Below are 18,592 nucleotides of genomic sequence, written 5' to 3'. Positions count from 1 at the left end.
TGGTGGCCACAGGGGTGCTTGTGTCTCTCCACCCCAACCTTTAGGAGGCTCAGAACAGAGAAAGTGAGAGAGAGAGACTATATATATTTTGAAAAAGGAAGGGAAGAGAACAAGAGTTTCTGCCTGGTAATCTAGAGAATTCTCTCAGATCATGTCCAAGACCCTCAAGGCAAGACCTCTATGAGTCTGCAAAAATCACAGCATTACTGGGCTTGGGGTGTCCCTTAAATAAAAACAGCTTAGATCTCAATACCAAGTCTTTGCAAATATCTGAAAAGCCTTTCCAAAAAGGACAGGTACAAATAAACCCAGAAAGGGAAGACTGTAATAAATACCTAACTCTTCAACGCACAGATACTAAAGAACATCTACAAGTATCAACACCATCCAGGAAAACAGGACCTAACCAAATGAACTCAATAAGGCACCACGGACCAATCCTGGAAAAACAGAGATATGTGAACTTTCAGACAGAGAACTCAAAATAGCTGGTTGAAGAAACACAAATAAATTCAAGATAACACAGACAAGGAATTCAGAATTCTAACACATGAATTATTTATGGGTTCTAAAAATCAAAATAATTGAACTCATGGATATAGAGAGTAGAAGGATGGTTATCAGAGGCTGGGAAGAGTAATGGGGCCTGGGAGAAGGATTATTAATAGGTTAAAAATAGATGAATGAATAAGTTCTACCATTTGATAGCACAAAAGGGTGAGTATAGTCAATAATAACTGTACATTTTAACATAACTTAAAGAGTGTAATTGAATTGCTTGAAACTCAATACATAAATGCTTAAGGGGGATGGATATCCCATTCTAACGATGTACCTATTTCACGTTGCATGCTTATGTCAAAACATCTCATGTACCCCAGAACTATATACAGCTATTATGTACCCATAAAAATAAAAAATATAAAAAGAAAATGTCCTTCAATTTAGGATATTAGTCTTTGAAATTTTATTCACAAATTGACCCAGTTCCTTTTCCTCTCTTCTTTGAAGTTGTCTTTTAAAGTATTCTACCTCATAGACTAGTATTATTTTGTATTTTATCTTATCTCTTTTGTTTTAGTTTTGCCCATGAGTAGTTGTTCTCAAATTTATCTTCCAAACCCTCTGGTGAAAAGTAAATTATTTTAATCATATTGTGAGTTTGCCAAACTCTATTTTTGTTCTTGCTGCTACTTGAATGAAATCCACTTTCTCTAGTCAGCTACATCAATAGCCACTGTCTCTCTATTTTTCAGTTTTCAGAATTGTGTTGCTGCTTTTTTCTTTCCTGTTCTCTTTACTGTGAAGAGTTAGCCAATTTAAATCTTATTTTTAAAGACAGACTTTACTTTCAAAGCAGCTGTATGGTCACAGAGTAATTGATTAGAAGGTACACAGATTCTCTATATACCCGCTGTACCCATATATGCAAGCTTCCCCTACTACCAACATCTCACATCACAGTGGTACATTTTTTTACAACTGATGAACTGACATTGACAAATCTTAATTATCTGAAGTCCATAGTTCATATTAAGTTTCATGCTTGATGTACATTCTACATGTTTTGACAAATGTATAATGACATGTATATATCATTACAATATCATACAGAATACTTTCACTGCCCCCAAATCCTGTGCTCCACTCACTTATCTTCCCCTTCCCTCTAACTGCTGGAAATCATTGCTTTTTAAATTATCTCTATAGTTTTGCCTTTTCTAGAATGTCATATAGTTGGAATTATGCAGTATGTCATCTTTTCAGATCAGCTTCTTTCACTTAGTAATATTTATTCAAGTTTCCCTCATGTCTTTTCATGGCTTGATTGTTCGTATCTTTTTTTTTTTTTTTTTTTTGAGACGAAGTCTCGCTCTTGTCCCCAGGCTGAAGTGCAATGGCACAATCTCGGCTCACTGCAACCTCCGCCTCCTGGGTTCAAGTGATTCTCCTGCCTCAGCCTCCTGAGTAGCTGGGATTACAGGTGCCTGCCACAACGCCCGGCTAATGTTTGTATTTTTAGTAGAGATGGGGTTTTATCATGTTGGCCAGGCTGATCTCGAACTCTTGACCTCAGGTGATCCGCCCTCCTTGGCCTCCCAAAGTGCCAAAGTGCTGGGATTACAGGCGTGAGCCACCACGCCCAGCTGCTCGTATCTTTTTAATACTGAATAATCTTCTATTGTCTGGATGTACCACAAGTTTTTAGAAATCCATTCCACTACTGAGGAACATCTTGATTACTTCCAAGTTTTGGCAGTTATGAATAAAGCTGTAATAAACACTCATATGGTGATTTCTGTGTGGAAAAAACGTTTTATACCAAAGGTCAACTAGATTTTTGTTTATCCTCTATATTATATTCTAGGAGATTTACAGTTTTGCACTTCACATTTAGGTAAATAATTCATTTTGAGTTAATTTTTGTGAAAGATAAAAGACCTGTACCTAGATTTATTAATTTTTGCATGCAGATGGTTTCATTGGTCTGTTTTCATGCTGCTGATAAAGACATACCTGAGACTGGGAAATTTACAGAAGAAAGAGGTTTAGTGGACTTACACTTTCACATTGGTTGGGGAGGCCTCACAATCATGGCAGAAGGCAAGAAGGAGCAAGTCACATCTTACATGGATGTCAGCAGGCAAAAAGAGAGCTTATGCAGGAAAACTCCCCCTTATGAAACCATCAGATTTCATGAGACTCATTCACTATCATGAGAACAGCATGGGAAACACCCACGCCCATGATTCAATGACCTCCCACTGGGTCCCTCCCACAACACATAGAAATTCAGATGAAATTTGTGGGGGGACACAGCCAAACCATATCATTCCACCCCTGGCCCTTCCTAAATCACATGTTCTCACATTTCAAAACCAATCATGCCTTCCTAACAGTCCCCTGAAATCTTTACTCAGTTCACCATTAACTCAAAAGTCTGCAGTCCAGAGTCTCATCTGAGATAAGGCAAGTCCCTTCCGCCTATGAGCCTGCAAAATCAAAAGCAGGTTAGTTACTTCCTAGATACAATGGGTGTACAGGCATTGGGTAAATATAACCATTCTAAATTGGAAAAATTGGCCAAAACAAAGGGGCTACAGGCCCCATGCAATTCCAAAATCTGTGCAGTCAAATCTTAAAACTCCCAAAATGATCTCATTTGACTCCATGTCTCGTATCCAAGTCACACTGATACAAGAGGTGGACTTACACGACCTTAGGCAGCTCTGCCCCTGTGGCTTTGCAGGTTATAACCCCCCTCCTGGCTGCCTTCACAAGCTGGTGTTGAGTGTCTGCAGCTTTTCCAGGCACACGTGGCAAGCTGGCGGTGGATCTACCATTCCGGGGTCAGGAGTATGGTGGTCCTCTTCTCACAGTTCATACTAGGCAGTGCCCCAGAAGAGAATCTGTATGTGGACTCTGACCCCACATCTCCCTTCTGCACTGCCCTAGCAGAGGTTCTCCATGAGGGCCCTGCCCCTGCAGCAAACTTCTGCCTGGGCATCCAGGTATTTCCATACATCTTCTGAAATATAGGCTGAGGTTCCATTGTCAGGCTGCAAATTTTAAAACTTTTATGCTGTTTCCCTTTTAAAACTGAATGCCCTTAATAGCATCCAGGTCACATCTTGAATGCTTTGCTGCTTAGAAATTTCTTCTGCCAGATACCATAAATCATCTCTGTTAAGCTCAAAGTTCCACAAATCTCTAGGGCAGGGGCAAAATGCTGCTAGTCTCTTTGCTAAAACATAACAACAGTATCTTTGATTAAGTTCCCAACAAGTTCCTCATCTCCATCTGAGACCACCTGAGCCTGGATTTCATTGTCCATATAATTATCAGCATTTTTGTCAAATCCATTAATGAGTCTAGGGAGTTCCAAATCTTCCCACATTTTCCTGTCTTCTTCTGAGCCCTCCAAACTCTTCCAAGTTCTATCTGTTACCCCATTCCAAAGTTGCTTCCACATTTTCATGTGTCTTTTCAGCAGCACCCCACTCTACTGGTACCAATTTACTGCATTAGTTCGTTTTCACACTGCTGATAAAGACATGCCTGAGACTGGGCAATTTACAAAAGAAAGAGGTTTAATGGACTCTCAGTTCCACGTGGCTGGGGAGGTCTCACAATCATGGCAGAAGGTGAAAGGCACGTCTCACATGGTGGCAGACAAGAGAAGAGATCTTGTGGAGGGAAACTCCCCTTTATAAAACCATCAGATCTGATGAGACTTTTTCGCTATCATGAGAATAGCACAGTAAAGACCCACTCCCGTGATTCAGTTTCTTCCCACTGGGTCCCTTCTACAACATGTGGGGATTGTGGGAGTTACAATTCAAGATGAGATTTGGGTGAGGACACAGCCAAACCATATCAACACAACTTGTTTAAACAATTATATTTTCTCCATTGTATTGCTTCTGCCTTTTAAAAAAAGTCATTTGACTATATTTAGGTGGGTATATTTCTGGACTCTCTGTTCTACTTCATTGACCTATTTGTCTATTTTATTTTATTTTGTATCAACAATACAGTGTATTGATAGCTTTAAAGTAAGTCTGAAGGTGAGTAGTGTCAGTCCTCTGACTTCGATTTCCTTCAATATTATGTTGGCTATTCTGGGTCTTTAGTCTCTCAATGTAAACATTATTGGTTTGTCAATATCCACAAAGCAATTAGCTAGAATTTTGATTGAGATTCCATGGAATTTATAAATGAAATTGGGAAAGACTAACATGTTGACAGTATTGAAGCTTCCTATTTATGAACTAGAATGTCTCTCCATTTTTTAGTTTCTATTTAATTTTTTTCATGAGAGTTTCATTGTTTTCTTCATATAGATATTTAGATCTTATATATATTTTGTTAGATTTTTAACTAAATATTTTCCATTTCAAATTCCATTTGTTCATTACTGGTAGTTAGGAAAGTGATTGACTTTTGTATATTAACTTCGTAACCTGAAACTTTGCTATAATTGCTTACTAGTTCCAGTTTTTTGCTATAAAAAGCTTACTAGTTTTCTTTTCTTTTTGGTCAGTTCTTTCAGATTTTCTAAATAGACATTTATGCCATCTGAGAACAATGACAATTTAATTGTTTTCTTCTCAATCTATATATCATATATTTTATTTTCTCATTTTACTAGCTAGAGCTTCCACGACAATGTTGAAAAGGAGTGGTAAGACGACATTCTTATATTTTCCTGGTCTTAATAGAAAAGTTTTCAGTTTTTCATCATTAAGTAGGATATTTGCTGAGGTTTTCAATAGATATTCTTCATAAAGTTGAGAAAGTTCCCCTCTATTTCTACTTTTCTGAGAGTTTTTATCATAAATGGCTGCTGGGTTGTATCAGATGCTTTTCCTGTATCAACTGATATGAACATGTGCCTTTTCTTCTTTAGCTTGTTGATGTAATATGTTACATTACTTTCTTTTTGAACCTTGAACCAGTCTTGCATTGCTGGGACAAATACCAATTGGTTGTGGTATATAATTCTTTTAATGCATTGCTGAATTCAGTTTTCTAATATTTTGTTGAGGACTTTTTTATCTGTCTTCATGAGAGACATTGTTCCATAGTTTTCTTTTTTTGTAATATCTTTCTTTGGTTTTGGTATTAGGGCAATACTGAACTCATAGAATGAATTGGGAAGTACTTCCCCTGTGTCTATCTTCTGGAAGAGACTGTAAAAGGTTGGTATAATTTCTTACTTAAATACATGGTAGAATTCACCACTGAATACCTTTGGGTCAATTAAACCATTATTGTAAATCCATTTATTATACTTTTATAGAATTCATGGGAGTGATATATTAAAAACATTTGATCTGCCATGTCTACAGAGAAATACAACAATTATGAAATAATTGATATAATAGAACCATTTTTGCAGGAGATTTTCATTTTGACAGTGGGAAAAACTAGAAGGAAAAGAGACAGGTGATTTGGAAATAAGATAAGAGGTTTGCTAAGTCTCCAGATGACAGATCATAAAAAATCTGAATCAAGGGGAAATTGTAGAGAGAATCAGGTGCTCATTGTGTTTCCTAATCCAAGAAAGGATAAAGATTTAAAAATGTTTAGCCAACCATACATTTGATTCATATAATAGACTGCTGTTTTTAACATCCAATTCTTATTGGAGATTATGACTTTTAAATTGAATACGTGCCAAAGATACAATAATAAGATTTTGTTAGGTGATTTTGAGAGCAGTGGAGATTGGCATAGACTAAGTATCAGAATAGAAATTGAAAATATGGTTACTACTGCAGGATAACTTTGGCTGATATTCTAGTTGTTAATTACATGTGAGCAACTGCATAAAAATTTCCAGAGATGACAGAGAGTGACTTTGAATGTGACTAGAAATTATTATATGAGTAAGTAGGGTTAGAAACCCTTTTTGACAGGATTATAGCTACTACCATTAACCTATTTTTACCTCCAGCGAAAAGAAGCCTTGGAAAAACTTAGGCACATCTCAATTATTAGCTTTATTATAATCATATTGTCCCCTTTGTAATGAACTTCAAATCCCCTTTGAAAATACTCTGACATAAATATTTTATATAACTTACTATTCAGATTGAGTAAATTGAATCATATAGTTAAATATTTTCAGGTTAGAGAAAAATGGGAGGTCTTATTTGATAATGTTAATGATGTACTGATCTCAGGGATATATTTTATTGTAAAAAGTCAAATGAGGAATGCAGAATGGAATTTTCTAATATTTGATAGCATGGTAGTATTTCAAATTGTAGATTAAATATTTAACAGGTAAACTGAGAAGAAAAGTGTCATGGAAAGACTATAAGGTATATTTAGAAATTAAATATACTACACTATAGAAGAGTTAATACTCAAAATACATGTATTTTTTAAACTACTTGATTCAAGATTAACATAAATTTATTGTAGTCAAGAAAATGTAGTATTAGTAAAAGGATAAATACATTGATAGATTGAATATGAGAGAGAAAATTAGAAATACAACCAACAACAACATCATTTTCCACAAATGGCACTGAGACAATTAGATATCCACATGCAAAAAAGAACTTCAATTCATACCTTGAACTAAATTTGAAACTAAATTGAAATGAATCATAGGCATCAATTTAAAACCTAAAACTGTAAAACTTCCAGGAAATATAAATATTCATAAATTTTAGTTTCTTAGGCCACAAAAAGCATAATTCATAAAAGAAAAAACTAATACAATAGAGGTCATCAAAGTTTAAAAATTCTGGGCCGGGCGCGGTGGCTCACGCCTGTAATCCCAGCACTTTGGGAGGCCGAGGCGGGCGGATCACGAGGTCAGGAGATCGAGACCATCCCGGCTAAAACGGTGAAACCCCGTCTCTACTAAAAATACAAAAAATTAGCCGGGCGTAGTGGCGGGCGCCTGTAGTCCCAGCTACTTGGGAGGCTGAGGCAGGAGAATGGCGTGAACCCGGGAGGCGGAGCTTGCAGTGAGCCGAGATCCCGCCACTGCACTCCAGCCTGGGCGACAGAGCGAGACTCCGTCTCAAAAAAAAAAAAAAAAAAAAAAATTCTGATTTTCAAAATACACTACTTTTTCCAAAGAAAAAGAAATGACGAGCCACAGACAGGTAGAAAATATTTGCAAAGTACAGAGGTGACAAAGGACTGATAACCAAGTTATGTAAAGAACTTTCAAATCTCATTACAAAGAAAACAAACAATCCAATTAAAGGGTGAATGTTTGTAACAGTATTTTACTGAAGAAGACATACAACTAGTAAATAAGAACATAAATGTCATAAGTCATTAAGGAAATGGAAATTAAAACTCCAATAGATAGTACCACGCACCTATTAGCATGGATCAAATAAATAAAAACTGACACTAATAAATGCTGTTGAAGATGAAGAATAACAGTACTCTCAGATTTTGCTGGTGGGAATGCAAAATGTTACATCCATATTGCAAATCGGTTTGACAGAGCCTTTCTTATAAACTTATACATTACCATCCTACCCAGAAATCCTCTCCTAGGTACTTAACCGAGAGCAATGAGGACACATGTTCATGTAAAACCTGTATGCCAATATTTAGAGCTGCTCTATTGATAATATCACATACTAGAAATAACATGAACTGGTGGATTGGTAAGCGATATGGTTTAGATTTGTGTCCCCATCCAAATCTCATGTTGAATGATAATACCCAGTGTTGGAGGTGGGGCCTGGTAGGAGGTGATTGTGTCATGGGGGCAGATCCCCCCTACCCCATTGCTGCTATTGTGATAGTGAGTGCTCAGTTTAAAAGTGTGTAGCACATTCCCTGCCCTCTCTTCCTCCTGCTCTGCCCATGTAAGATGTGGCTGTTTCTCCTTCACTCTTTTGCCTGGCTCATTTCACTTAACATAATGATCTCCAGTTCCACCCATGTTGTTGCAAATGACAGGATATCATTTTTCTTATGGGTGAATAGTACTCCATTGTGTATATGTACCACATTTTATTTAACCGTTTATCTGTTGATGGACACTTAGTTTGCTTCCAAATCTTGGCTATTGTGAATAGTGCCACAATAAACATGAGAGTGTAGATATTTATTCAATATACCATTTTTTTTTCTTTTGGATATATACCTAGGAGTAGAATTGCAGGATCGTATGATAGCTCAATTTTAGTTTTTTGAGGAACTGCTAAACTGTTCTCCATGGTGATTGCACTAATTTCCATCTCTAGCAAGAGTGTACAATGGTTCCCTTTTCTAAACATCCATCCTCTGCAGCATTTGTTATTGTCTGCCTTTTGAATAGAGGCCATTTCAACTGGGAAGTGATAGCTCATTGTACTTTTGATTTGCATTTCTCTGATGATCAGTGGTGTTGAGCACCTTTTCGTATATCTCTTTGCCATTGAATGTCTTCTTTAGAGAAATGTCCATTCATATCTTTTGCACAGTTTAAAATTAAATTATTATATTTTCCCCATAGAGTTGTTTTAGGTCCTTATATATTCTCATTATTGAACCCTTGTCAAATGGATACTTTGTAAATGTTTTCTCCAACTCTGTGGGTTGTCTGTTCACATTGTTGATTGTTTCCTTCACTGTGCAGAAGCTTTTTAACTTGGTGTGATCCCGTTTGCCAATATTTGCTTTGGTTACCTGTGCTTGTGGGATATTACTCAAGAAATCTTTGCCCAGTTCAATATCCTGGAGATTTTCCCCAATATTTTCTTATAGTAGTTTCATAGTTTTAAGTCTTAGACTTAATTAACTCTTTAATCCATTTTTATTTGATTTTTGCATACGGCCAAAGATAGGGGTCGAATTTCGTTCTGCATATGGAGACTCAGGTTTCCCAATACCATTTATTGAAGACACTGTCCTTCCCCAATGCATGTTCTTGGCACTTTTGTTGAAAATGAGTTCGCTGTAAATGTATTGTTACGTTTCTGGGTGCTTTATTCTGTTCCATTGGTCTATGTGTCCGTTTTAATGTCAGTACCATGCTGTTTGGTTACTACTATACCTCTGTAGGAGAATTTGAAGTCATATAATATCATTTCTCCAGTATTTTTTTTCTTTTGCTCAGGAGATCTTTGACTGTACTGAATGTTTTGTGGTTCCATATAAGTTTCAGAATTGTTTTTTTCTATTTTTATGAAAAATGTAATTGATATTTTGATAGAGATTGCATTGAATCTGTAGATTGCTTTGGGTAGTATGAATATTTTGACATAATTGATACTTCCAATCCGTGAACATGGAATATCTTTCAATTTTTTCTTGTCCCTTTCAATTTTTTTCATCAATGTGTAAATATTTTCATTACAGAGATATTTCATTTCTTTGGTTAAATTAATTCCTAGGTATTTTATTTTATTTGTAGCTATTGTAAATGGGATTATTTTCCTGATGTCTTGTTCCAATTGTTTGCTCTCTGGTTATAGAAATGCTACAGATTTTTGTATGTTTATTTTGTTTCCTGTAATTTTACTGAATTTGTTATCAGTTTGAACCATTTTTTTCAAATATAAGATAATGTTTTCTGTAAATAAGGATAATGTGACTTCTTTTATTTCAATTTTGATGCTCTTTATTTCTTTCTCTTGTCTAATTTCTCTAGGTAGGACTTCTAGTACAATGTTGAGTAACAGCAATGAAAGTGAGCAACCTAATGGTATTCCAAATGTTAGAGGAAAGGCTTTCAGTTTCTCACCATTCAGCATAATATTAGCTGTAGGTCTGTCATATATGGCTTTTAGTATGTTGATATATTATTTTGTTGTTTCTAAACCCAGCTTTGTGAGGGTTTTTATCATGAAGGGATGTTGAATTTTATCAAATGATTTTTCAGCATCAATTCAAATGATCATATGGTTTTTATCCTTCATTCTGCTGACACGATGTGTCACATTGAGTAATTTGCATACGTTGAAAAATCCTTCCATCTCTGGGATAAATCTCACTTAGTCGTGATGAATGATATTATTAATGTGTTGTTGATATAAATTGCTAGTATTTTGTCGAGGATTTTTGCATCAATGTTTATCAGAGATATTGGCCTGTAGTTTTCCTTTTTGATTTGTCTTTGTCTGGTTTTGGTATCAGGGTAATACTGGCCCCATAGAAGGAGTTTGGAAGTATTCCCTCTGCCTTTATTTTTTGGAATAGTTTGAGTAGAATTGGTATTAACTCTTCTTTAAATGTTTGGTAGAATTCAGCAGTGAAGCCATTGGGTCCTGGGCTTTTCTTTTCTTGGAGACTTTTTAGTATGGCTTTGATCTTGTTACTTGCTATTGGTCTGTTCATGTTTTGGATTTCTTCATGGTTCATTTTTGGTAGTTTGTATGTGTCAGGTATTTATCCATTTCTTCCAGGTTTTGCAATTGATTGACATGTAGTTGCTCATCATAGCCTCTAATGATCTTAGAATTTCTATGGTGTTAGTTGTAATGTCTCCTTTTCCATCTCTGATTTTATTTATTTGGATCTCCACTCTTTTTTTTGTAGTTACTCTGGCTAAAGGTTTGTCAATTTTATCTTTTTAAAAAAAACCCAACTTTTTATTTTTTTGATTTTTTGTATTGTTTTCTTTGTTTCTATTTCATTGATTCTGCTCGACCTTTATTATTTCTTTTCTTTGACTAACTTTGGGTTTGGTTTGGTCTTGCTTTTCGGTTTTTAAGATGCATCATTGGGTTGTTTATTTGAAATTTTTGTTCTTTTTTGATATAGGCACTTAGAGCTATAAAATTCCTTCTTATTGACACTTTTGATGTATCCAGTAGGTTTTGGTATATTGTGTTTTCATTGTAATTTGTTTCAAGAAATTTTTCAATTTCCTTCTTTATTTATTCATTGATCTACTGGTCATTCTGGAACATATTCCTTAATTTCTATGTGTTTCTATAGTTTTCAAATTCTCTCAGGTTATTGATTTCTAACTTTATTATATTGTGGGCAGAGAAGATATTTGATAGTGTTTTTAAAATATTTTAATACTTTCTTTGTGGCCTAACATATGGTCTATTGTTGAGAATGATCCATGTGCTGAGGAAAATAATGTGTATTCTAAAGCCACTGGATGAAATGTTTCATAAATATATATTAGGTATGTTTGGTCTATAATGCGGATTAAGTCTGATGTTTCTTTGTTGATTTTCTGTCTAGAAAATCAGTCCAATGCTAAAAGTGGGGAGTTGGACTCTCTAGCTATTATTGTATTTTGGTCCATCTCTAATAATATTTACTTCATATATCTTGGTCTTCTAGTGTTGAATGCAAGCATTTTTATAATTTTTATATCCTCTTGAAGAATCAACACCTTTATCATTACATAATGACCTTCTTTGTCTCTTCTTATAGTTTTATCTTGAAATCTATTTTGTCTGATATAAGTATACCTAATCCTGGTCTTTTTTGGTTTTCACTGGCATGGAATATTTTTTTTCCATCTCTTTATTTTCAGTGTATATATGTCTTTATAAGTAAAGTGTACTTCATGTAGGCAACAGATTATAGAGTTCTTGTTTTTTTAAATCTATTGAGCCACTCCTTGTCTTTTTATTGAAAAATTTAGTTTATTTACAATAAACGTAATTATCATTAAGTAAGGACTAACTTCCGCCATTTTCTCATTAGTTTACTAGTGGTTTTGTGGTCTTCTCTTTCTTCTTTCCTTTCTTCCTGTCTTCCTTTTAATGAAGGTGTTTTACTCTGGTGGTATGATTTAATTTCTTACTTTTTGTTTGTTGTGTATCCATTGTGTGTTTTTTTATTTCAGGTTACCATGAGGCTTGCAAATAGTTTTCTATAACCCATTATTTTCAGCTGATAACAAACTTAACACTGCTTACATAAACACACAAACTAACAAACAAGCAAATTAAAATCTAATAAACTCTACACTTTAACTTTGTTTCCACACTTTTAAACTTTTTGTTCTTCCTACTTACATCTTATTGTCTACATCTTGAAAAGTTATTGTAGTTATTAATTCTGATTGGTTCATGTTTTATACTTTCTACTTAATAGCAGTTTACACACTAGAGTTATAGTGTTATTATGTTTTGTGTTTTCCTGTGTACTTACAATTACCAGTGAGTTTCTTACCTTAAGAGGATTTCTCAGGGGAAATTAACATCTTTTTCCTACTGATTGAAGTACTTCTTTTAGCATATCCTGCAGGACAGGTCTGGTATTGTTGAAATTCTTCAGCTTTTGTTTGTCTGGGAAAGTATTTCTCCTTCACAATTGAAATGTATTTTCACAAAATATACTATTTTGGAGTAAAATATTTTTCTTTTCATCACTTTAAATATGTCATGCCATTCTCTCCTGGCTCGTAAGATTTCCACCAAAAAGTCTTCTGCCAGGCATATTGGAGCTCAATTGCATATTATTATTTTTCTTTTCTCTTGTTGCCTTCAGAATCCTTTCTTTATCCTTGACATTTTGGAGTTTGATTATTAAATACCTTGCAGTAGTCTTCTTTTGGTTAAGTCACAGTGGTGTTCTATAACCTTCTTTTCCTTGGATATTTATATCTTTCTCTAAATTTGGAAATTTCTCTGTTATTATTCCCTTGAATAAACTTTTTATTATCCCTTTCTCTACCTCCTCTTTAAGGCCAATAACACTTAGTTTTGCCCTTTTAAGTATATTTTTTAGATCTTGTAGGTGTGTTTCATTTTTTAAAAATCTTTTTCATTTTGTCTCTTCTGAATGTATATTTTCAAATAGCCTGTTACTCACTAATTCTTTCTTCTGTTTGATCAATTCCGCTGTTAAAAGTCTCTGATGAGCCTGGTGCAGAGACTCACACCTCTAATTCCAGCGACTCAGGAGGCTGAGGTAGGAGAATCACTTGAACCTGGGAGATGGAGGCTGCAGTCAGCTAAGATTATGCCACTGGACTCCGGCCTGAGCTGTAGAGTGAATGAGACTCTGTCTCAAAAGCAAAAGAAAACAACTCTGATGCATTCTTCAGTAGGTCAATTGCATTTTCAACTCCAGAATTTCTTCTTGATTGTATTTAAATATTTTAATCTCTTTGTTAAATTTATCTGGTAGGATTTTGAATTCTTTCTCTGCATCGTGTTGAATTTCTTTGAGTTTCCTCAAAATAGCTATTTTAAATTCTGTGTAAAAGATCAATTATCTCTGTGTCTCTGAGATTTGTTCTTGGTACCTTATTTAGTTCATTTAGTGAATTCATGTTTTCCTGGATGTTCTTCATGCTTGTGGATGTTTGCTGGTGTCTGGTCTTTGAAGAGTTAGGTATTTATTGTAGTCATCACAGTCCGGGCTTTTTTGTATCCATCCTTCTTGGGAAGGTTTTCCAGGTATTCAAAGGACTTGGGTGTTGTGATCTAAGCTTTGGTCACTGAAGCTGTATCTAAATTAGGGTGTACCCAGAGCTAAGTAATGCTGTAGTTCTTGCATACTTGTAGACGTACTGCATTGGTAATCTTGGATAAGCGTCGCTAGAATGCCCTGGATTACAGGCAGAGACTCCTGTTCTCTTCCTTTACTTTCTCCCAAACAAATTGAATCTTCCTCTCTCTCTATGCTGAGTTGTTTGGAGCTATGAGAGGGGTAACACATGCACACCTTTGGCCACCACTACTAGGACTGCACTGGGTCAGACCTGCGGCCAGGTCAGCATTGAGTCTCGCCCAAAGCCCATTGTAACCACCACTTGGCCACTGCCTATGTTTGCCTAATGACCTAGGGCTCTACAATCAGCAGGTGGCAACACCAGCCAGTCTTGTGTCCTTCCCTTTAGCATGGTGAGCACTCCCTGGTCCTGGGTTTGTTCAGAGATGCTATCTTGGAGCTAGAGCTGGAGTCAGAAACCTCAGAAATCTACTTGGTGTTCTATTCTACTGTGGCTAAGCTGGCACCAAAATCACAAGACAAAGTCCTTCCCAATCTATCTTCCCTTTTCTCCAGGCAGAGGAGTTTCTCCCCATGTTCACCACCACCACAGGCCCGTGGGGAGTACTGCCAGAGTACCACAGGTATTTACTTAAGGCACAAGGTTTCCTCAGTCAGCTTATGGTGAATTCTCCCAGGCCTGTGACTCATTTTATAGGGCAGTGGGCTCCCTTCTGGCCCAGGGTGCATACAGAAATGCTGTCCAAGAGCAAAAATTGGGAATCAGGGAACCCAAGAACTCACTTCCCCACTGTGGCTGAGCTGGTACCTAAGCAGTAAGACAAAGTCCCCTTCATTCTTCACTCTATATTTCTCATACAGAAGGGATATCTCTCATTGCCACTACAGCTGTGTATATGCTGGGTCACACCTGAATCCAGTGTGTTTCAGAGTCTCACCCAAGGCTCATGGTTTGTATTACCTGGTTACTGCTGCTGTTATTCAGTGCTTAAGGGCTCTTTAGTCAGCAGGTAGTGAATTCTGCCAGTACTGGGTCCTTCCCTTCAAGGCAATGTGTTCCCTTCTGGCCCAAGTTGTGTCTAGAAATGTCAACTGGGGTCTAGGGCCTGGAAGGGGGGCCTCCCGGCTGTACTCCGTGCCCTATCATACTATGGCTGAGCTGATATCCAAGTTGCACTTCAAAATCCTCTTTATTTTTCCCCCTCCTCTCCTCAAGTTGAATTAAAAGGTATTTTTTGGAACTGTGAGCTGCGCTGCCTGGGTTTGGGGTAGGGGTGGTGCAAATACTCCCTTAGCTGCTCAGGCTGGTATCTCACTAGGTAATATGCCCCCCAAAGCCACTGGCTTTGAGCCCAGCAGAGCCCTAGGACTTGTCTAAGAGTTGCATTCCTTGTGTCCTAGACAGTCTTTCAAGTTTATTTAGGACCCCAGAGCACTTTTTAGGCTGCCATGGGAAAGCTCACAACCTAAAGTTCTGACTGCTGGGATGGGCGATTCCGCTCTTGCTAGGGCTTGTCTGAATACTCCCTTCATGAGTGTTTGCTGATTTCTGCCTGGTGTTGGCAACCCTGAGTTCCAGTGCAAAGTCCCACAATTACTATGCTCTCCCTCCCACAGGCACACAGATTCTCTCTTTTTGCCCAGTGTCTTCTGCTGGGGTTGCGGGGATGGCTGACTTTGCCAGTTCAAGATTGTCTTTCCTACCCTCTTCAGTGCATCTTTCAGTGATGTAAAGTTAAAATCAGGTACTGGCATCAATTACCTGATTTTTGTTTCTTATGAAGGTGCTTTTTTTTCTGTAGATAATTGTAGAATTTGGTGTTCCTATAGGGAGGACAATCAGTGGAGGATTCTATTCAGTTGTCTTGCTCCACCTCCAAAATCCAACAACAGTTTCTTCTGAATTTGTTCTATATTTCTAGTTATGTATTATAAATTGGGATATATATTATAAATTGACATTATATAATGAAATTTACAGTGAAATATGTATACCTTATGTTTATAGTTTAATCGACTTTGACAAGTTCTTACACATGTGTAACCCACAACACTATTACATAGAAAATTTTCATCACTCCATAAAGTTCCATTGCACCCCTTCTTAGTCAATCCCCACCCCTACATCCTGAGGCAAATTTGGGCTTTTATCACTATAGCTTTGTTTCACTTGTTCTAGAACTTCATATAAGTAGAATCATATGATATCTAATCTTTTGTGTCTGGTTTCTTTAACCTTAATAATTTTGAAATGCATTCACTGTTGGTGAGGAGTGTTCCATATTATAATTGTTTGTTTATCCATTTTCTGTTCTTAAGTATTCTGGGTTTTGGCTAGGATGAATTCAGCTATTGTAAATAGTTTTGTATGAACATTTTATGTACATATATTTTAATTTATCTTGCACTCTACATAGAAGAGGAATCACTAGATCACAGAAGAAGTAAATATGCATTGTTATAAGAAATTATTAATTTTCCTGTTTATTTTTATTATGTTACTCAACCACTACTAATTAGAAAAGCTCCAGTTGCTGTATATTCACGGTAACCTTTGGTTTTGTCAGTCTTTAAAAATTTTAGCCATTTTAGGAATGTATAGTAGTCAACTATTTTGATTTTATGCTTCCTTGACAACTAATAATGTTGGGCACATTTTTATGTGCTTCTTAGATATTTTGTCATTCTTTTTCATACATCTGTTCTAAATTTTGACCATTTTTATTGATTTTTCTTTGTATTTCTTATGTACAATTCTTTATCTAGTCTGATTATGAGTCCTTTATCTGATATATGGATTGGAAATAATTTTCCCCACTCTATGGCTTGCCAACTCATTTTCTTAATGGTTCTTTTGAAAAATAGAGCATTAATTATGCTAAATTTCAATTATTATTTCTTTCTTTCATATTTTTGTACTTTTATACTAGTTCATATATTTAATGTCAAATAAAATACCAAATAACAGGATATGCTTACCAACAAAGTATATATTTTGATGAGAAACTTTTCATAGGCTCAGTAGAAAAAGCACAGGTGCTTATTCAAGTATAAAGCCATTGAGAGGGCAAATTGAATCTATCTACTATGAATAGCATTACAAATGTTATTACATGCCATGAAATATAACTTAGCCAAACACTAAAGATAAAATATTAAAGAACAATTGATATTCAGGTTATAGCAAAAGACAGCAAGGACCCAAAAGAACGTTTAAGTAGCATGGATGAAAAATATTCTATTCTGTCCAAATAAAAAAAAATGAAGGAATGAAATAACTTGAGGGTATTATGTGATCAGAAATAAAAAATAATTTTCCCAGAGGTTCCAAATCTTAAAGTGATACATATTTTAACTCACTCCATTATTTATTCCCATATTCCCTGAATTTGATCCATTCATTTATTCAAGAAATATTTATTGAAGAGCTACTGTGAACTTTGATTTGATCCAATAATGAAGAAATGCTAAAGTAAAGCCTCTGAGTTAAATCAGGAGAGGATACTATTTGCTTCATTCTGTTACTTCATTAGGTTTTTAAATTTTTTATTTTTTTAAATTGACATAAAATTGTATATTTTTAGTGTACACAGTATGGTAATTTGAAATGTGTATACATTGTGGAATGGCTAAATCAAGCTAATTAACATACTTTACCTCATGTAGTTATCATTTTTGTGATGAGAACACTTAAAATCTACTCTCAGCATTTCTCGAGAATACAGTATATTGTTGTTAACTACAATCATTTCAAAGGTTAATATTTAAATAAGAAAAGGGAGGAAGAGAAAGAGAAGGAAGAAAGAGGAAGGAAAACAAGACAGAGCTAATTATTTCTGAGTCTACCAGAGAAACATTTAAGAACTACAGTTTCTAGGCTGGGCGCAGTGGCTCATGCCTGTAATCCCAGCACTTTGGGAGGCTGAGGTGGGCGGTCACTTGGGGTTAGGAGTTCAAGACCAGCCTTGCCAACATGGTGAAACCCCATCTCTAATAAAAATACAGAAACAAAAGTAGCTGGGCGTGGTGGTGGGCATCTGTAATCCCAGCTACTTGGAAGGCTAAGGCAGGGGAATCGCTTGAACCTGGGAGGCTGAGGTTGCAGTGAGCCCAGATTGCACCATTGCACTCCAGCCTGAGTGACAAAGTGAAACACTATTTACAAAAACAAACAAACAAACCAACAAAAAACTATAGTTTCTAGTCAATTGACTTGGCAACATAAGCTAAACAGTGGCTATTTTATTTTGTTTTATTTTATTTTACCAAATCTACCTAAGGAAGGAATATTTCTAATTTGGGGATTTCATTGGCTCTGTTTGTTCTCTATAATACTTTCCTTTCATGTAGATCATAGTAGGTACTTTATAACTTATATGTATAGACTAGGCAGACAATTAAAGGACCCTGAGCTGTAAATGAAAGAATGATTTAAATTAGTGACAAAAGGAACGTATAATATGATGTACTTCTCATTTCTGGACCACTTGGCTCCTAGACATTTCAATATTTTACAAGTATTTATTTGAGAGTAGGCTGCTTAAATTATTTCTGAATTTATCATCTTTATGACTTTTAAAGCAGCGGTCCCCACATGCTGCGTCGCGGACTGGTACAGGTCTGTGGCCTATTAGAAACTGGACTGCACAGCAGAAGGTGAGCAGCAGGTGAACCAGCATTACTGCCTGAGTTTTGT

At 35.9% G+C, this 18,592-nt stretch overlaps 1 long non-coding RNA gene across 1 annotated transcript in view; it reads left to right on the top strand.

Annotated features, from left to right (window-relative positions):
* The first annotated feature begins 1,839 nt into the window (after nt 1–1,839).
* Nucleotides 1,840–18,592, top strand: part of LOC105378030 (uncharacterized) — a 38,367-nt gene continuing 21,614 nt past the window's right edge. The window contains exon 1 of the long non-coding RNA XR_001744392.2: nt 1,840–5,702. This is a non-coding gene — a long non-coding RNA (uncharacterized LOC105378030). The remainder of the gene's footprint in view (nt 5,703–18,592) is intronic.

This window comes from Homo sapiens, chromosome 6 (assembly GCF_000001405.40).
Source record: "Homo sapiens chromosome 6, GRCh38.p14 Primary Assembly".
NCBI classification, from domain to species: domain Eukaryota; kingdom Metazoa; phylum Chordata; class Mammalia; order Primates; family Hominidae; genus Homo; species Homo sapiens.
The sequence above is the reverse complement of the archived record's forward strand: the minus strand, read 5'-3'. Positions and strand labels throughout refer to the sequence as shown.